The following is a 19,015-nucleotide window of genomic DNA, read 5'->3' as shown; positions in this document are numbered from 1 at the left end:
TAAGAGAACTAACACAGGAACAGAAAACCAAATACTGCATGTTCTCACTTATAAGTGGGAGCTAAATATTGAGTATATATGGACACAAAGAAGGGAATAATAGGCACCAGGACCTACTTGAGGGTGGAGGATAGCAGGAGGGAGAGGATCAAAAAACTACCTATCAGGTACTATGCTTATTACCTGGATGATGAGATAATCTGTACACCAAACCCCTGTGACTCACAATTTACTTATATAACAAACCTGCACATGTATACATGGACCTAAAATAAAAGTTAAAAAAAAGATTCAAATAGAGAGTTTAGTATAGTTGTGGATGTAAGATTAATAATACAATAACTTAGTGTATTTTTAAATACCAGAAACATAGTTGATACATAGGCATAAAAATGCCATTTACAAAAAGCACGGAAATATGTATCTAGAGCTAACTCTAACAAAAGTGTATAAAAGCTTTATTGAGAAACGTAAAAATTTATGGAAAGATGTTTAAAAGACCTAAATTAATAGGTAATATGGCTTTTTATCTCTTCTGGTTACAGAGCTAGACAGTATATCTCAGACTTCTTTCTGGTTAGTTGTGACCTTGTGGCATAGTTCTAGATAGTGAAATGTGAGCAAAAGTGATGTTTACCACTATCAGACCTGAACTGTAAAAATTGTTTGCAGCTGATCTTTATGCACTCTTTCTGGCTTGTTAATGAACATAGCCAATTGGAAGTTGACACAGCCCTAAGATGGAAGAAACCTGCATTTCTGAATCACTCCTCAGCTACAAATTAAATACACTTCCAATGGAAATTCCAGCAGAACTTTTTGTGAAGCTTGGCAAACTGATTCTAAAACTTATGTAGAGTAACCAAGGGCCAAAAATAGACAACACATTTCTGAAGATAAACAAGGAGAACAGTGTGGGAATAAATTGCTCCCTCAGATATGAGAACTAATTATAATGCTATAACTCAAACTATTAGTGGAGGAAAGGCAAGTTAAGACCACAGTGATTTTATACTCACAGGTGGCAAAAAATATAAAGTTTATATTACTAAATGATGGTGAAGATGTAGAGCGGTCAGAACTCTTATACAAAGGGGTGGCAATATCATACAATCCCTTTGGAAAATTTTGGCAATATCTAGTAAAGTTGGAGAAACCGTGTCTTTGACCCAGCATTTTTACTCTTGTATACATTTCTACTGCGTAACCTAGAAAATGATGTTAATAGAAGCATTTTTGCAATAATACACGATTGGAAATAACACACATCTTTCAACAGCAAAATGGACAAAAATTCATGCTATGTTAATCCAATGGTGTTATAATACAGCAGTGAAAATAGTGGACTATATAGAGTATAGATTAAATTGACAAATATAATTTTTCAGTAAAAAAGACATTTGCCCAAGATCAAATATGTTAAGATTTATCTAAAATTTAAAAAAACTATAAAGTATTTAAGGATACTAGATTTGTGGATAAATTAGAAATCAATGCAAGCAAACGGTGAACACAAAAGTCAGGGTAGTGGGACCTCTGGGCAGTGAGCAAGAGGGCACTGTGGGAGGAAGACAGAAGGCTTCTGTGTTGGTTCTGTTTAGTTATTAAACTGTTGGTAGGTGCAGGGGTGTTTTTATTCTCATGCTTTATAACTTGTTTATGTGTCACATTATTTTGTATGTATCAATTATTTTTTAAATTGAAAATTAAAAATAATCACCAACTCAAACCATATTTGTATTGCCAGACCATTATTAGCCAGACCATTATTAGCTGTACTTGACAGTTAAGTTTCTCTCACCAATGTGCTTAACACATGCTGTTGCTTCTCACTTAAACACCTTCTACTTCCTCATCAATTTATATAAGAAGATTCCCTTTGAACCTGGTTCAAATTTTACTATAGACAAGTATCCATGACCTTCCTAAACCTCATTATGTCTTACTAAAACTGACGTTAATGATTATCTCTTCATTCAATTCTTTTTTTTTTTTCACCAAACACAGGTTGAACATCTGTGTTGCAAATGCTATAGGGGTACAAAATGTATAGGATACATTGCCTTTTCGAAGGAGCTAGATTTATTCACAACTAGACACCACTGGCACCAGGGTTGTAATTCTGGAATATAAAAAGTGTTACAGAACCTCACAGGAGAAGGGAATTGGTTCTGTAAATTCAAGTAAGACTTCAAATAAGTGGTGGCATATGAGATGAGCCTCAAAAAATATTTCCTGTTTGTCCTGGGGTATGCAAGTCTTCCCTTCATCTCGCCCACCTTCTACTAAATACTCTTAGGTATTTCAGCTGAATCTGTACACCAAACATAAAGAGTGGGTCATTACTTGGAAAGACTCATTCATCCCATATCTTAGCCTCTTTCACTTTCACTTCCACTCAATCAAAACCATCCATTGTTGCCTCTTTTAGTGGATGGACGTTAGTAGCAGAAAGACATTAAATCAACTTTGGTTGTTGGTGGACAGGTTAAACAGATTCCATTTTACCCTTGTCTAGACTTGGGTAAAGGAAGTACACTAAAAATGCCACATAAATATTTTTTTGGAATGGCATGTCACCGTGAATCATCTGGTTTAATTAGACTGGCCATTTTGTGTCCATTTTTATGTGACCAAGAGAACCAATATCTGACAAATTTACTGACCCAGAGAGAAATTTCTGGGAAAGAGTTCATACTTACTGGATACCAGCTCCAGCAAGCCACAATGCAAATTTTTCTATTTCTGAATGATACAATCATCAGTGCAGATTTAGAATCATTTTAAAACCTTCTAGTTTATTAAAATCTTTGGAGATGATGTTTTCAGCATGATGTACGCCATCGTTAATAATGAGAATTTAATAGAGACAAGGGCAAACCTGTGTACAACTTCCTCAGGTACTCGTCTTGAAACCTCAGTTTTGCTAGTAGAATTTGAAAAAAAAGGGGGGGTGCTCTTCTTGAAACCTCAGTTTTGTTAGTAGAATTTGAAAAAAAAGGGGAGGGTGTCTATTTTCTTGTCTCCTAGATTGATCCCTTTAAAACATGTCAGGCCATGCCATACCCCTTCTGTTAATCTTACTGTGATTTCTTAGAAAAGAAAAAAATCTGAAGTTATTTCTGTGGTTTACAAACCCACAATGCTCTCACTTCTTGCCTCTCTTCCCCTCATCCATTTTTGCCCAGCCACGCTGGCCTTCTTGCCAGTTCTTGATCCTGCCATGCATAATTCCATCTCAGGCCTTTTCACTGGCTCTTCCTTTTGGTGGCACGACTGCCGCTCGGATGCTTACAGAGCTCTCTTACTTACCTCACTGAGATTTCTACTCAAATCTGCTCAAATGCTACCGCCTCAGTGAGTCTTTTTGGTATATAGTGGTACTCAATAAATATTCATTGAGTTATTTATTAACTTTCTGTTGTCTAGAAGAGCTGGGGTGAAAAAAGACTGAGACTTTCTGGTAGTATCCATGGTGGTACAAGACAGACATAGCGTGATTTTTATAGAAAATATACAAAACTTGATGTAGAAGATTTGGGGCCTTCTATATTAGGCACTTGTCTTAAATAGGTCTGAGTGTCCAGTTTCCGCTGACGAAATGGATTAGACCAAAGTTGATATGATCAAAGGAGATAAAGAAAGCGATACATTTACATCAGTCTTGAAATTTTAATATAAGTATTGCCATCTCTTTAGGCCAATATGCAAATATTACAAAAGCTAAACCAGCAATTCAAATGGAAATATACCACTTTCAGAGCTAGAGAAATTCTCCTAAATAGCTGGTAAGCTTCCAGTGATCCTTATGAGGAGAACTTAAATGCAATTAATAAAGAAATGCGTCAAAAGTCTGTTATAAACCAACAAAACAATATTTTCATATTTGTGTGCATACAAATGCAGTTATAAACATTACTTTCTTGCCTTTTAAATTTCAGTCTTTATAAAATTAGCTAGGATTTTCATATTGGTTCTTTCTCTGAGGAATACGTTGATGTGCTAGTCTCAGCTGATTACAAATTTTAATTTTGTAATATTCCCAACCACACAGTAGATATAATCACTGTGAGTCATTCTGTGTGGATGAAAAAATCAGCAAAAGCCCACTTCAAATTAGATTGTTTAAATTCCTTTTTTCCAATAGGAAAATCCTTGCTGTTGTGTGATAAATACTAAAAGCAATCAGTAAAATGGTAAATTTCTAAGGGGTTTATTTAAGGTAAATTAAGATTTTAAATACCAATATTTGAATAAATAAATAGGGGCTGGATTTTATAGTTCAATGACTCATACTTTTTTTAGATGAGGGCTTATTTTGTTATGTGAACCTTGTTTATTTATTTTTTAGCCAAGATTGTTGCTGTATTATTGAGAAAGGCTATGTGAAATGTGAAATGCTGAAGCCCAGAAACAATTTGTGACTGTTTGTTTGAGGAAGGTGGAGGATAGTTTTATTAGAATAATATCTGTATATATTGGAGATGAAAAGTATTTGCTAAATACCCCTGTGAAAGAAAACCAACTGTGTGTTTTGCAGGGAAGGATTTTGATCATATACACTGCTTCGATTCAATGAGGGGCCCTTCTGTAGCTCCAGCTTTTTTTCTGTCTATTCTGTGCACGGAGTTCTTTGAATAGGGCCTCAGAGAAGAGGAAAGGTCTATTTTGCGAAAACGGAGGACGGTAGCACTGATTCATTACCCTGGGAGAGTTCCTAATCCTCAGTCAGGGCCAAGCTCAGATGTCACCTGCTAATAACATCTTCCCCAACCATCATCTCCCTAATGTTCTTGACATATATGATTTTTGCCCTATGAATTTATACTTTCTTCAATTATATCATGTATTACATGATATAATATTAATCATGTATAACATGATATAATATTAATCATGTATAACATGATATAATATTAATCATGTTTGTGTACATTTTGCTAATGCACTGAAGTCTGAGAGTTAACTTTGTATCTATAGGCCTAGCAGAAAGCCTGACCTTGACTGGGTGCTGAATGTATGTTTTCCGAATAAGTAAGTTAACGTAGATACTGCCCACCACTCACCTTCCTGAGAGACAAGAAGTGTATAGAGCCCAGACAAAGTTGGCATGATATTACCCTGACTTTGCTTTCGACTGCCAAAATGTGTAGGGTGCAGACATTGTGTATGATGGTTTTTAAAGACTGTCCAGAGTATTAAGCCCCCCTTCTCAGCATTAGTCCATTTCCCAAACTCTCAATTTTGTTTTTATTTTTACATTCATGACGGAGCTTTACTTGCTCAGGTGTCCATCATTTCTTCCTTGTCTCTTCTTCCCAAATAATACCACTTTTGAATTAAACATCTGTTTAGTCCTGCTTGCCCTGAGCTTCAAAGTTGTTGTTATGGATCCCCTTTGCTAAGCCATTCCTCCATATCCTCTAGGGGTCGTGGGCAGAGAGGTATGTGCATGGAACTTTCCGCAGTGCAACTAGATACACACCTGACCCTGCAAAGGAATACACGAGGTGGTCTCTCTGTCTCTTTGTCTGTCTGTCCGTCTGTCTGTCTCTCTCTCTCTCTCTTTGTGTGTGTGTGTGTGTGTGTGCATGGTATAAAAAGAAGGGTGGGGTGTAGAAAGCAGATTTCAGAGGTAAGAGGGAGGCTTAAAGAGGAGCATGAGTTTTATGGTTTCTGCACAATTTCTTTGCTATTCTTTACCAGGTTGACTTTGGATTTGCGAAGAAAATAGGGTCTGGACAGAAAACATGGACATTCTGTGGGACTCCAGAATATGTAGCTCCTGAAGTCATTCTCAACAAGGGACATGACTTCAGTGTGGATTTCTGGTCACTGGGAATTCTAGTGTATGAGCTCCTAACGGGCAAGTATGTACCTTCAAGTTTTATGCAGCCACCTCTTCAGAGAAATGCAAAAATAACCTAACTAGTGATAAAGTGTATATACTTTAAGAGCGTAACATTTTGAAAATGTTTTCGATTAAGTATGATACCTTTTTCTCATGACATTGTTTCACATACAGTGAACTTGCTGGTTTATAACATAAAGAAAAGATTCAGGAAGGCAAAGGAAAGGAATATAGAATTGCTGTGGTTTACCTAACGTGGCAAGACCTATTACTGTAGATAACAAATTAAGTATGAAGGCTTTAATAATTCAGCATAATAATAAGAGAAGGAATGAAAGTTCTGGGCTGTGTTATTATTTCCTCTTTTTTGTGTAATGGAGAAAACAGCAATCTGAGTTCAGTTAAATCCATTGATCAATTAAACTGAAATTATCCATCTTCCCAACATATCATTAACCAGAAATGCTAGAACAAAGCACCATTTCTGGATTTAAATTTTAATCCTCTTGTCAGCTGCTTTCTAGAGGTGCTAATGAACAGAGACAAGACACTGCAGGGGTTTTAGCAGTGAAAATTGAATTGTCATTCCCAAAGAGATTAAAGGACTGTGTTAGTGAATCCAGGATCTCAAATATTTAAATGCACATACACACATTACACACCTACGCAAACACACATACACAGGCTATATGTGATATTACCTCACATTTGTAAAGTACTTTACATTTTACAAAGCACTTACATGTGTATTATGTAGTTTAGTTCTGACAAGCTTGTGTGGAAGATAAGTTAGGAATTTTTATTATGATTATTTTATGATTTACATTTTTATTATGATTATTTTATGATTTACATTTTATAGATTAGAAAACCAGGTGAGAGAGCTACCTGTCCAAGATCAGTAACATAATACTAGATCTTCTGACTAAATGTGACGCACCTTCCTTCTATATGTGTTTATGATACAATGCATGGGCATACACACACAGAATTCAAATCAATTTTCTTTCTGGTTTTCTAGCTCCATTTCTGGTTAACTGATTTGATCATCCTTATAACCCTTTATAACCAAATATTCTCAGTCTTAATTTCAGAGAGGATTTGCATTTGGAATGGTTTAAGAAATACTAGAACGAGTCTATTGGTGAAGATACAAGTCTTAACACATACTTTATGAAAAGAGTTTCATAGAATCTTCTTGAACTTTCTACGCTACAAATTTCAGTGTTAGACTATCTGTGGCTACATTTTACACCTTGCATTGAGCAAACAAATATGAAAGACCATTTTATATTGTCTGTAATTATTTTCAAATATTCATTGCTTAAGATTCTGAAGGAAGGAAGAGAAAATATTCAGTCATTCAGAGAAAAGTTGTTTAAGGGCTTGGGCACAACGAATTCTATTTCAAAAATTTGTTTCTCTGGGAAATTTGTCAGCTGCATTTGTAAGAGATACATGCTGGCTTCTATAGGTAATCAGATATGTATGTCAGTTTTCACCAGCTGGAATAACATATTAGAAGGAGTAGGTCATAAAGAAGTTGAGAAATTGTTTTGTTTTGTTTGTTGAGACACGGTGTCACTCTGTCACCCAGGCTGCAATGAAGTGGTGTGATCACTGGTCACTGCAGCCTCCACCTTCTGGGCCCAAGCAATCCTCTTGCTTCAGCCTCCAGAGTAGATGGGACTACAGGCACATGCCACCATGCCCAGCTAATTTTTAAAATTTTTTTGCAGAAATGGTATCTTACTGTGTTACCCAGGCTGGGCTCAAGCTCCTGGGCTCAAGCAGTCCACTCATCTCAGCTTCCAAAAGTGCTGAGATTACAAGTGTGAGCCATCACACTAGGCCAAGAAACTGTTTTTGTAACAATTGTTTTGTTTGACCTGTAAATGATTTTCTGGGTAGGGCATGAGAAAGGTTAACTTTAAATGCCCTGAACTCCAGAGCATAGGAGGGAAATGAAAATTAAAAAAAAAAAAAAAACCAATAGTGTTAATATATAAATAAGTTGAATATATCATAACAATGTTTTTGGTTTCCTGCCTCATTTTCTTTACAAGTGAAATATAGTTTAGTAAAAAGTTGGTACACTGACTGTCTCGTTTATTATCTAGAGTGGGAAAGCTCAGTAACACAAGGTCTCCAGTGTGACTAATATATAGCAAAAGTAGTTCATGGAAAGTCATCTTTAATTTTCAAAAATTAAATGGCATAATAGAATAAATATGAAAGTGTTTTTATTATTTATTTATTTTTGAGATGGAGTCTTGCTGTGTTGCCCAGGCTGGAGTGCAGTGAGGCAGTCTCAGCTCACTGCAACCTCTGCCTCCCGAGTTCAAGCGATTCTCCTGCCTCAGCTTCCTGAGTAGCTGGGATTATAGGTGCCCACCACTATGCCCAGCTGATTTTTGTATTTTTAGTAGAGACAGGGTTTTGTCATGTTGGCCAGGCTGGTCTCGAACTTCTAACCTCAGGTAATCTTCCCGCCTCATTCTCTCAAAGTGCTAGGATTACAGGCGTGAGCCACCATGCCCGGCCTCGAAAGTGTTTTTGAAAGCAAAGTATATGAGTTAAAATGTTATCCAAATTCAGTGGCCAATTCTCAGTCTTTGTTTACTGATCTTAGCAGTACTTTTTAAAAAATACTCTCGGGTGGGTGTTGTGACTCGTGCCTGTAATCCCAGCACTTTGGGAGGCTGAGGCGGGCGGATCACGAGGTCAAGAAATTGAGACCATCCTGGCCAACATGGTGAAACTCCGTCTCCACTAAAAATACAAAAATTAGCTGGGCATGGTGGCGTGCACCTGTAGTCCCAGCTACCTGGGAGGCTGAGGCAGGAGAATCACTTGAACCCAGGAGGTGGAGGTTGCAGTGAGCCGAGATTGCACCACTGCACTCCAGCCTGATGACAGAGTGAGACTCCCTCTAAAATAAATAGATAAATAAATAAATAAATACTCTCTTCACTTGGCTTCTAGAATTTTCTTCCCTGTTCTTTTCCCACATTGGTGGCTCCTTCTCAGTCTCCATTGCTAGATTCTTTTCATCTTCCTACCTCTCAACATTGGACCAATTCAGTTCTTGACCTCTATTCTCTCTTTTTACCCACTCACTCTCTTGATGATACCATCAATTCTCATAGCCATAAATACTGTCTGATGACTCCGCAAGTCACACTTTGAGCCTTAACCCCTTTCCTAAATGCCTATGTCATAAATCTACCTTCCTGCTTAGCATTTCCATTTGGATGTTTAAAACATAACTCTTGATTCCCTTCCCCATAACCCGCTCTGCACACCACCCCAACTCCGTCTTTCTCCTCTTAGGAAATAACTGCAACAAGGCCAAAACACTTTAGCATCATTCTTGAATTCTTTGTTTCTCCCACATGCCTTATTCACCCCATTAGCAAACTTTGATGGCTTTACTATGTGTCTTAGTCAGCTTGGGCTGCTATAGCAAAATACTATAAACTGGGTGGCTTAAGCAGCAAACATTTATTTTTCACAGCTGCAGGTTGGAAGTCCCAGATCAGGTTACCAGGGTGGTTGTGTTATGGTGAGCATCCTAATCTGAGTTACTGCTGACTTCTCCTTGTATCCTCACATGGCCAAAAGCCAGGCAACTAGCTCCCTAGCTTTTCCTTAGAATGGCACCAGTCCCATTCATGAGGGCTTCACCCTTCTGATTTAATTACCTCCCACAGGCCTCACCTCCAAATACCATCACACTGGGATTAGGGTTTCAACAAATGAATTTGGTGGAACACAGACATTCAGCCTATTGCACAGTCTAAGTAGATGTAGAATCCAGCCATATCTCACTACTTTCAACATTACTATGCTAGGCAAGGTTACTGGGGCTCCTTGCCCCTGACTTTCTCACTACCATCATCATAGTTTATCCTCTACACATTAGGAAAACCTTACTCTGGCTGCTCTAATTTAGATCATCCTGCTCAGAATGTATCCCCAGGTCCTTCTGATAGCCCACTTCATCTATGCGATATTGTCCTCATCTATGTACTCCCCTCTTGCTTCCTCACTCCACCAGCCACACTGCCCACTTCACTATGCAGGACCTCCCAGGCCCACTCCTGACTCATGGCCTTTGTGCTTCCTGTCTTAGAACTGTCTGCCATAGGTAGTGGTGCGGTGCATTCACTTCCTTCCCTCTCTTTATTCATACGTCTGCACAATTGTCAGCCTATGAGAGGCTTTTCTTATTTACTGTATCTCAAAAAATCACACCTTCTCTGTCCCTTTCTTTATTTTATTATTAGTGATTATCGACACATGACCAATTACCTGTATGTGCATGTGTGTGTGTATTGTGTGCTAAGCGATATTAAATTAGTGAGATGATATTCTAGGATATATCTAAATTTGTTGTAAAACAACTGAGACAGAGAGAGGAAGAAATGAAAGAAGGGAGGGAAGGAAAGAAGGAAGAAAGAAAATTCATTCCAAATGTGATCTCAGACCCTGTTATTAATGTGTCCTGTTCTGGATTTTCTCTATCTAGCCCACCCTTTTCTGGGGTTGACCAAATGATGACCTACAATTTGATTCTCAAAGGAATTGAAAAAATGGATTTTCCCAGGAAGATAACACGACGACCTGAGGATTTGATTCGGAGGCTTTGCAGGTGAGAATGACAGTCAGTAACCCCTTGTCTTGAAGAAAGTCTAAAGGCTTCGGTTTCTGTTTCTACACATTTTAAAATTAGGTGCATATTTACTTTTTGTGCTGTTTTTATATAGGCAAATTATATTTGAAGGAAGTCATTTTCTGTTTTGCAGTGTAGGGGGTTTTAGTTGACCTCACATTACAGAATCACAGTACCTACTTATGAAGTAGTTTAAAAAAAGATCTAAATTTTTCAGACAACCTTTGGGTATCATCTTTATCTGTTAGAGAGCAAAATAAACCATAAACCTTAGGCTAAAAAAGGAGTAATTTACTATTTCAGCAATGAAAAAGAATGAAGTCATATCATTTTCAGCAACATGGAAGGAACTGAAGGTCATTATCTTAAGTGAAATAAGCCAGACACAAAAAGACAAATATTCAATGTTCTTGTTTCTATGTAAGAGCTAAAAAATTTGAACACATGGAGATAGAAAACGGAAATGTAGATATCAGGGACTCGGAAGGGAGAGGGGAGGCTGAAGGGAAGTGGGTTAAATAGGTAATTATACAGTAAGATAAAAGGAATAAATTCAATGTTCAAAGAGGACAATTGAATACTTAACAAAAATGTATTATACTCAGGCAACGGACATCCTTAATACCCTGAGTTGATCACTAGGCATTATATACGCGTAACGAATTTTCTCATGTGCCACATAAATTTTCACAATATAAAATAGGAGTAATTTATTTATAATAATCTTGTTATTTTGAAAGAAAATTAGTCGTGATAATGAAGTGTTATTATATGACCTCTTTCCATCTTCATTTTTTAAAAAGTGCTCCTCTGTTCTTATTTTAAATTACCCCAACTTCTACTTACCATTAAAAATAATTTATCAGAGAATAGGAGACTTCTGGATTTTTTTTGTTTAAAATTCATTTTGCTGTTTTTTTCCTATTTGAACTTTTAAAAAAGCATTACAATTTAGTATAATTTAGAACTAAAAACGTAGCTATGGGTTGCCAGTATGCTTCTAAGATTTCAGCTTAGATGTAAATGATTCTCTAAAGCTTGCCCCGGTTTTCTCAGCACAGTTGGCAAGATAGTGCCTGCTTGTTCTTTAAAGTATTTATTCATACCTTATACACACATATATATATATACACTCCGAAGTCTAATTTAACTGTGGCTCCTCCAGGGAGGAGGTCGTGTCTTTTCACCTCCCTAAACTCAGATGTCTGGTCTACAGTAGCAACTTCATGCATGTTTTTTAATGAATGAATGAATTAATTAATTAACAAATAGATGTTAAGTTTTAATTTAAAATTTTCTGAATTATAATTATTATAAATATAATTATTATAAATTGCCTTTTACAAATTATTGTTTTAGGCAAAATCCAACAGAAAGGCTGGGAAATCTGAAGAATGGAATAAATGACATTAAGAAACACAGGTACATAATTATTTCTTTGCCCAGAAAAATATAGAAATTTAGAGAACAATGTGGTACTTGCAAAAGCTTCTCTCAGGAGGCCACAAAGGTCCCTTTCCAGACTTTCAAATTTTTCTTTATAGTGCTTTGCTTTTTATCTGTGTTTTAGTAGATGTAGTTATAATAATCAATCTCAAAGTGATTTGTCTCATGCTGGAAATTCGTATCAAGAATGACTGAAGTTACAAAAGAAGTTACAAAATCACATCTTCAAGTCATAGCAAATTAACTTTTTATCCACTTCTGTCTTTATTATTCTTTAGGTTTTTTTGTTTGTTTGTTTGTTTGTTTGTTTTTCTTATGACAGAGTCTCACCCTGTTGCCCAGGCTGGAGTGCAATGCCACGATCTTGGCTCATTGCAATCTCCACCTCCTGGGTTCAAATGAGTCTCCTGCCTCAGCCTCCGGAGGAGCTGGGATTACAGGCACCTGCCACCACACCCAGCTGATTTTTGTATTTTTAGTAGAGACAGGGTTTCACCATGTTGGCCAGGCTGGTCTCAAACTCCTGACCTCATGATCCACCTGCCTCAGCCTCCCAAAGTGCTGGGATTATAGGCACAAGCCACCATGCCTGATCCTAGTATGTATTTTTGTTGATCTATACTAGCTGTACATATTTATTATACTTTGAAATATCAACTTGGAATCTGTGAAGGAATTACATTCTAATTTGGGCATTTAACTTGTAAGTAAAAGAAGATAACATTGTTGTTGCCAGTATTCAAGAGGATGGTTCACCTAAATCAACTGTGAAAAAGTATTCTATTTCAGGTTTAATTAATATATATTTATTTTAAATATAATTTTCCTTTGAATATCCTCAAATTCTTAACCCTCATATTATATTTTACTTTTTGGGTAATGGACATTGATTTCACTGGTTTCCACAGAACCTCAAACCATGCTTTATCCTTTTGCAGTAATCTGACATGTACTTTTTCAGTTCTGTGAATTTTTAAAGCTGGCCTTTAGAGCCATTGATAACCTTCATAAGACGGCCTGTTGTGGGGTGGGGGGAGCGGGGAGGGATAGCATTAGGAGATATGCCTAATGTAAATGATGAGTTAATGGGTGCAGCACACCAACATGGCACATGTATAGATACGTAACACACCTGCACGTTGTGCACATGTACCCTAGAACTTAAAGTATAATAATAAAAAAAAGACATCCTCTCTGATGTATTAAATATTCAAATGTGGCGGTTCAAACCTTCAGGTTTTGGCTTGTTAAATCAGTGCTTGGATAACTACTGCCATCTTTAAGATGTTTTCATTTTGCTCATGATTCACAGATAAAAAAATTACTTTTAAGAATATGTAGATAGTGCAAAATACATTTGAGACTTTTATTATTGAAATCCTTTGACTACACAGATATGTTCACTTTTAGAAATGAAAACACCTCATTCCTTTATAGATCTTTTCACTGAAGAAATAGGGGCACATCAACATGGTATGAACATAAAGGGAGAAGGGCTGTTGCTGAATAGAAATGCTATTCATGTTTCTTAACAGTAGCAGTACAGCTTCAAAACAAAAACAAAAAATCAACCTGCCAATTTTACTGTATGTGTTAATGAACTTACTCGACATAAAGCCATGTATTCAATACTGTAAATTCATATTGAGCTCTGCCTTAAGGATGTTTTTAGTAAGAAAGGGAGGGAGGAAACATAGGAAGGAAAGAAAGATAAAGACACATGTAGATTTTATAGAATCAAAATGCTTGTACTATTCTAATGTTCTGTGCTATCCTTTGGATTGCCTTCAGCTGTAAAGCTCATTATTTGTCTTAGATTCTAATTTATTTTCTTCCAGCGCTCCATGCTGTTATCACAATTTCTTTTCTCATCATGAAATGACACAGAAACACACTATTCATATTGAGGAAACAAGTGCTCTGTCAATTAAAGCCATTCTTCCAATATACATTCTTCCTTTCTCTCATTATGGAAGGTTCTTCATGTTATGCTTTGGCATAGCTGGGAAATAGAAGTGATATATCTGTTAACAGGCTCCAGCTTAGCTTTTACTTCTTTACCTGAGGCTCATTTAAATGTAGCTGTCAAATTGTCATTAGATGCACATGCAAATTGCTGCTAAAGGATTTTCTCACCTCAGCATAGCAATAAAGAATTTTGAATTTCCTTCCCTGTAGGGATTAATTTGTCTATTCCTTCTTAATAGGCAACATTGTCTTTGCTATATGTAATATAGACTCTGAGTGCAGAGTATAGAGTTGATTAATAAGATATACCAAATTTACGGTGTCTTCGGTTGTGTAGATGCTCAGAAGCATTTTTTCATTCTATTTTCATAGTGCTTTTTAAGCTATAAAGCTGAAGGTGGGGAACATCAGAAAACTTGATCTTTCTCTCCAAATGGGAGTGTTTAAAAACCTTCCACAAGTCTTTAAGCTGCGTAGCTTCTCTACTCAGTATATTCTTAGAGTTAAAAACAAACAAACAAACAAAAAAGCTTCTTTCTAAAGTTTGGCATCAGATTTTCTCAGTCTCTTCTAAAGTAAAACTTTTTTTTTCTTAGAGAACCAGTCACTTTAATTTTGTTTTTTTTTTCTTTTTTCTATTTGTCTCTCTTTCTTTTTTTTTATTATATTTTAAGTTTTAGGGTACATGTGCACAACGTGCATGTTAGTTACATATGTATACATGTGCCATGTTGGTGTGCTGCACTCAGTAACTCGTCATTTAACATTAGGTATATCACCAAATGCCATACCTCCCCCCTCCCCCCACCCCACAACAGGCCCCGGTGTGTGATGTTCCCATTCCTGGGTCCATGTGTTCTCATTGTTCAATTCCCATCTATGAGTGAGAACATGAAGTATTTGGTTTTTTGTCCTTGCAATAGTTTGCTGAGAATGATGGTTTCCAGCTTCATCCACGTCCCTACAAAGGACATGAACTCATCATTTTTTATGGCTGCATAGTGTTCCATGGTATATATGTGCCACATTTTCTTAATCCAGTCTATCATTGTTGGACATTTGGGTTGGTTCCATGTCTTTGCTATTGTGAATAGTGCCCCAATAAACGTACGTGTGCATGTGTTTTTATAGCAGCATGATTTATAATCCTTTGGGTATATACCCAGTAATGGGATGGCTGGGTCAAATGGTATTTCTAGTTCTAGATCCCTGAGGAATCACCACACTGACTTCCACAATGGTTGAACTAGTTTACAGTCCCACCAACAGTGTAAAAGTGTTCCTATTTCTCCACATCCTCTCCAGCACCTGTTGTTTCCTGACTTTTTAATGATCGCCATTCTAACTGGTGTGAGATGGTATCTCATTGTGGCTTTGATTTGCATTTCTCTGATGGCCAGTGATGATGAGCATTTTTTCATATGTCTTTTGGCTGCATAAATGTCTTCTTTTGAGAAGTGTCTGTTCATATCCTTCGCCCACTTGTTGATGGGCTTGTTTGTTTTTTCTTGTAAATTTGTTTGAGTTCATTGTAGATTCTGGATATTAGCCCTTTGTCAGATGAGTAGATTGCAGAAATGTTCTCCCATTCTGTAGGTTGCCTGTTCACTCTGATGGTAGTTTCTTTTGCTGTGCAGAAGCTCTTTAGTTTAATTAGATCTCATTTGTCAATTTTGGCTTTTGTTGCCATTGCTTTTGGTGTTTTAGACATGAAGTCCTTGCCCACGCCTATGTCCTGAATGGTATTGCCTAGAATTTTTCTTCTAGGGTTTTTATGGTTCTAGGTCTAACGTTTAAGTCTTTAATCCATCTTGAATTAATTTTTGTATAAGGTGTAAGGAAGGGATCCAGTTTCAGCTTTCTACATATGGCTAGCCAGTTTTCCCAGCACCATTTATTAAATAGAGAATCGTTTCCCCATTTCTTGTTTTTGTCAGGTTTGTCAAAGATCAGATGGTTGTAGATGTGCGGCATTATTTCTGAGGGCTCTGTTCTGTTCCATTGGTCTGCATCTCTGTTTTGGTACCAGTAACATGCTGTTTTTGTTACTGTAGCCTTGTAGTATAGTTTGAAGTCAGGTAGCGTGATGCCTCCACCTTTGTTCTTTTGGCTTAGGATTGACTTGGCAATCCGGGCTCTTTTTTGGTTCCATATGAACTTTAAAGTAGTTTTTTCCAATTTTGTGAAGAAAGTCATTGGTAGCTTGATGGAGATGGCATTGAATCTATAAATTACCTTGGGCAGTATGGCCATTTTCACGATATTGATTCTTCCTACCAATGAGCATGGAATGTTCTTCCATTTGTTTGTATCCTCTTTTATTTCATCGAGCAGTGGTTTGTAGTTCTCCTTGAAGAGGTTCTTCACATGCCTTGTAAGTTGGATTCCTGGGTATTTTATTCTCTTTGAAGCAATTGTGAATGGGAGTTCACTCATGATTTGGCTCTCTTTTTGTCTGTTATTGGTGTTTAAGAATGCTTGTGATTTTTGCACATTGATTTTGTATCCTGAGACTTTGCTGAAGTTGCCTATGAGCTTAAGGAGATTTTGGGCTGAGACAGTGGGGTTTCCTAGATACACAATCATGTCATCTGCAAACAGGGACAATTTGACTTCCTCTTTTCCTAATTGAATACCCTTTATTTCCTTCTCCTGCCTGATTGCCCTGGCCAGAACTTCCAACACTATGTTGAATAGGAGTGGTGAGAGAGGGCATCCCTGTCTTGTGCCAGTTTTCAGAGGGAATGCTTCCAGTTTTTGCCCATTCAGTATGATATTGGCTGTGGGTTTGTCATAGATAGCTCTTATTATTTTGAGATACGTCCCATCAATACCTCATTTATTGAGAGTTTTTAGCATGAAGCGTTGTTGAATTTTGTCAAAGGCCTTTTCTGCATCTATTGAGATAATCAAGTGGTTTTTGTCCTTGGTTCTGTTTATATGCTGGATTATGTTTATTGATTTGCGTATATTGAACCAGCCTTGCATCCCAGGGATGAAGCCCACTTGATCATGGTGGATAAGCTTTTTGATGTGCTGCTGGATTCGGTTTGCCAGTATTTTATTGAGGATTTTTGCATCAATGTTCATCAAGGATATTGGTCTAAAATTCTCTTTTTTGTTGTTGTGTCTCTGCCAGGCTTTGGTATTTTAAAACAATACAGTTGTATCTATCTGTCCATTCTATATTAAATAATCTTTCTCAGAAATAGCTACAGAGCTCTGCTATCTTGTGTCTAAGAGCTAATTTAAAACTAGGCACCAGTCATGTCTCCCAACACCTATCTCAAAAGAAGGCTGATATACTTGTAAGGTACAATGACATCTTTCCTGACAGGAAGAGGAAACATTTGTTTCAGGTTCAGGCATACCTTGTTTTATCCCACTTTGCTTTACTTACTGCACCTTGCAGATATTTTATTTTTTACCAATTGAAGGTTTGTGATAACCCTGCATCAAGCAAGTCTATCAGGGCCATTTTTCCAACAACATTTGCTCACTTTGTGTGTCTGTGTTACATTTTGGTAATTCTTACAATATTTTACACTTTTCATTATTTTTATATCTATTATAGTGATCTGTGATCATTGATCTTTGATGTTAGTATTGTAATTTTGATGGCACCACAAACCGCAGCCATATAAGATGCCAAACTTCATCGATATATGTTGTGTGTTCTGATGACTTTATCGATGGCCCATTTTCCCATCTCTCCCTCTACTCAGACCTCCCTATTTCCTGAGACACAACAGTATTGAAATCAGGCCAATTAATAACCCTACAATGGCCTCTAAGTATTGAAGTAAAAGAAACAGTCTCAAGTCTCTCACTTTAAATAAAAAGCTAGAAATTATTAAGCTTAGTGAAGAAGGCATATCAAAAGCTGAGATAGACTGAAAGCTAGGCCTCCTGTGCCAATTAGTCAAGTTTTGAATCCAAAGGAAAGTTTCTTGAAGGAAATTAAAGGTGTTACTCCAGTGAACACACATGTATTATTCAGGGTTCTATAGAGGTATAGAACTAATGGAATAGATATATAAAAGGGAGTTTATTAACTCACACGATCACAAGGTCCCACAATAGGCTGCAGGCTGAGGAGCAAGGAGAGCAGTCTGAGTTCCAAAACTGAAGAACTTCGAGTCCGATGTTCGAGGGCAAGAAGCATCCAGTACAGGAGAAAGATGTAGACTGGGAGGCTAGGCCAGTCTCTCTTTTCACATTTTTCTGCCTGCTTATATTCTAGCCGCACTGGCAGCTAATTAGGTTGTGCCCACTGAGATTACGGGTGGGTCTGCCTTTCCCAGCCCACTAACACAAATGTTAATCTCTTTTGGCAACACCTTCACAAACACACCCAAGATCAGTACTTCAATCCAATCAACTTGCCTCTCATTATTAACCATCACAATGCACATGGTAAGAAAGCAAAACTGGCTTATTGCTGATATGGAACAAATTTTAGTAGTCTTTACAGAGATCAAACCAGACACAACATTTCTTTAACCCAAAGTCTAATCCAGAGCAAAATTCTAACCCTAGTCAACTCTATGAAGGCTGAGAGAGGTGAGGTAGCTGAAGAAGAAAAGTCAGAAGCTGTCAGAAATTGGTTCATGAAGTTTAAGAAAAAAAGCCATCTCCATAACTTAAAAGGGCAAGGTGAAGAAGCAAGTGCTGATATAGAAGCTCCAGCAAGTTATCCAGAAGATTCAGCTAAGATCACTGATGAAAGTGTCTACATAAACAACAGATTTTCAGTGAAGAATAAATTGCCTTACATTGAAAGAAGATACTGTCTAGGATTTTCCTAGCTAGAGAGGAGAAGCTAATATCTAGCTTCAAAGCTCCGAAGAACAGATTAACTCTCTTATTAGGAATACAGCTGGTGACTTGAAGTCAATGCTCATTTGCCATTCTAAAAATCCTAAGGCCCTTAAGAATGATGCTAAATCTACTCTGCCGGTGCTTTATAAATTGAACAAAGCCTGAATGACACCATATCTGTTTACAGAATGGTTTACTGAATATTTTAAGCCTACTCTTGAGACCTCCTGCTCGGAATAAAATATTTCTTTCAA

At 37.1% G+C, this 19,015-nt stretch overlaps 1 protein-coding gene across 10 annotated transcripts in view; it reads left to right on the top strand.

Annotated features, from left to right (window-relative positions):
- The window catches only part of PRKG2 (protein kinase cGMP-dependent 2), a 130,467-nt gene that overhangs the window by 101,519 nt on the left and 9,933 nt on the right, over positions 1-19,015 (top strand). For all 10 annotated transcript variants that reach the window (XM_017008415.2, XM_017008416.2, XM_047415963.1 and 7 more), the window contains 3 exons: positions 5,707-5,870; positions 10,383-10,505; positions 11,886-11,948. In XM_017008415.2, the coding sequence (XP_016863904.2) occupies positions 5,707-5,870; positions 10,383-10,505; positions 11,886-11,948 (350 nt within the window). The remainder of the gene's footprint in view (positions 1-5,706; positions 5,871-10,382; positions 10,506-11,885; positions 11,949-19,015) is intronic.

The sequence above is a fragment of the Homo sapiens genome, chromosome 4 (assembly GCF_000001405.40).
Source record: "Homo sapiens chromosome 4, GRCh38.p14 Primary Assembly".
In the NCBI taxonomy this organism is placed as follows: domain Eukaryota; kingdom Metazoa; phylum Chordata; class Mammalia; order Primates; family Hominidae; genus Homo; species Homo sapiens.
The sequence above is the reverse complement of the archived record's forward strand: the minus strand, read 5'-3'. Positions and strand labels throughout refer to the sequence as shown.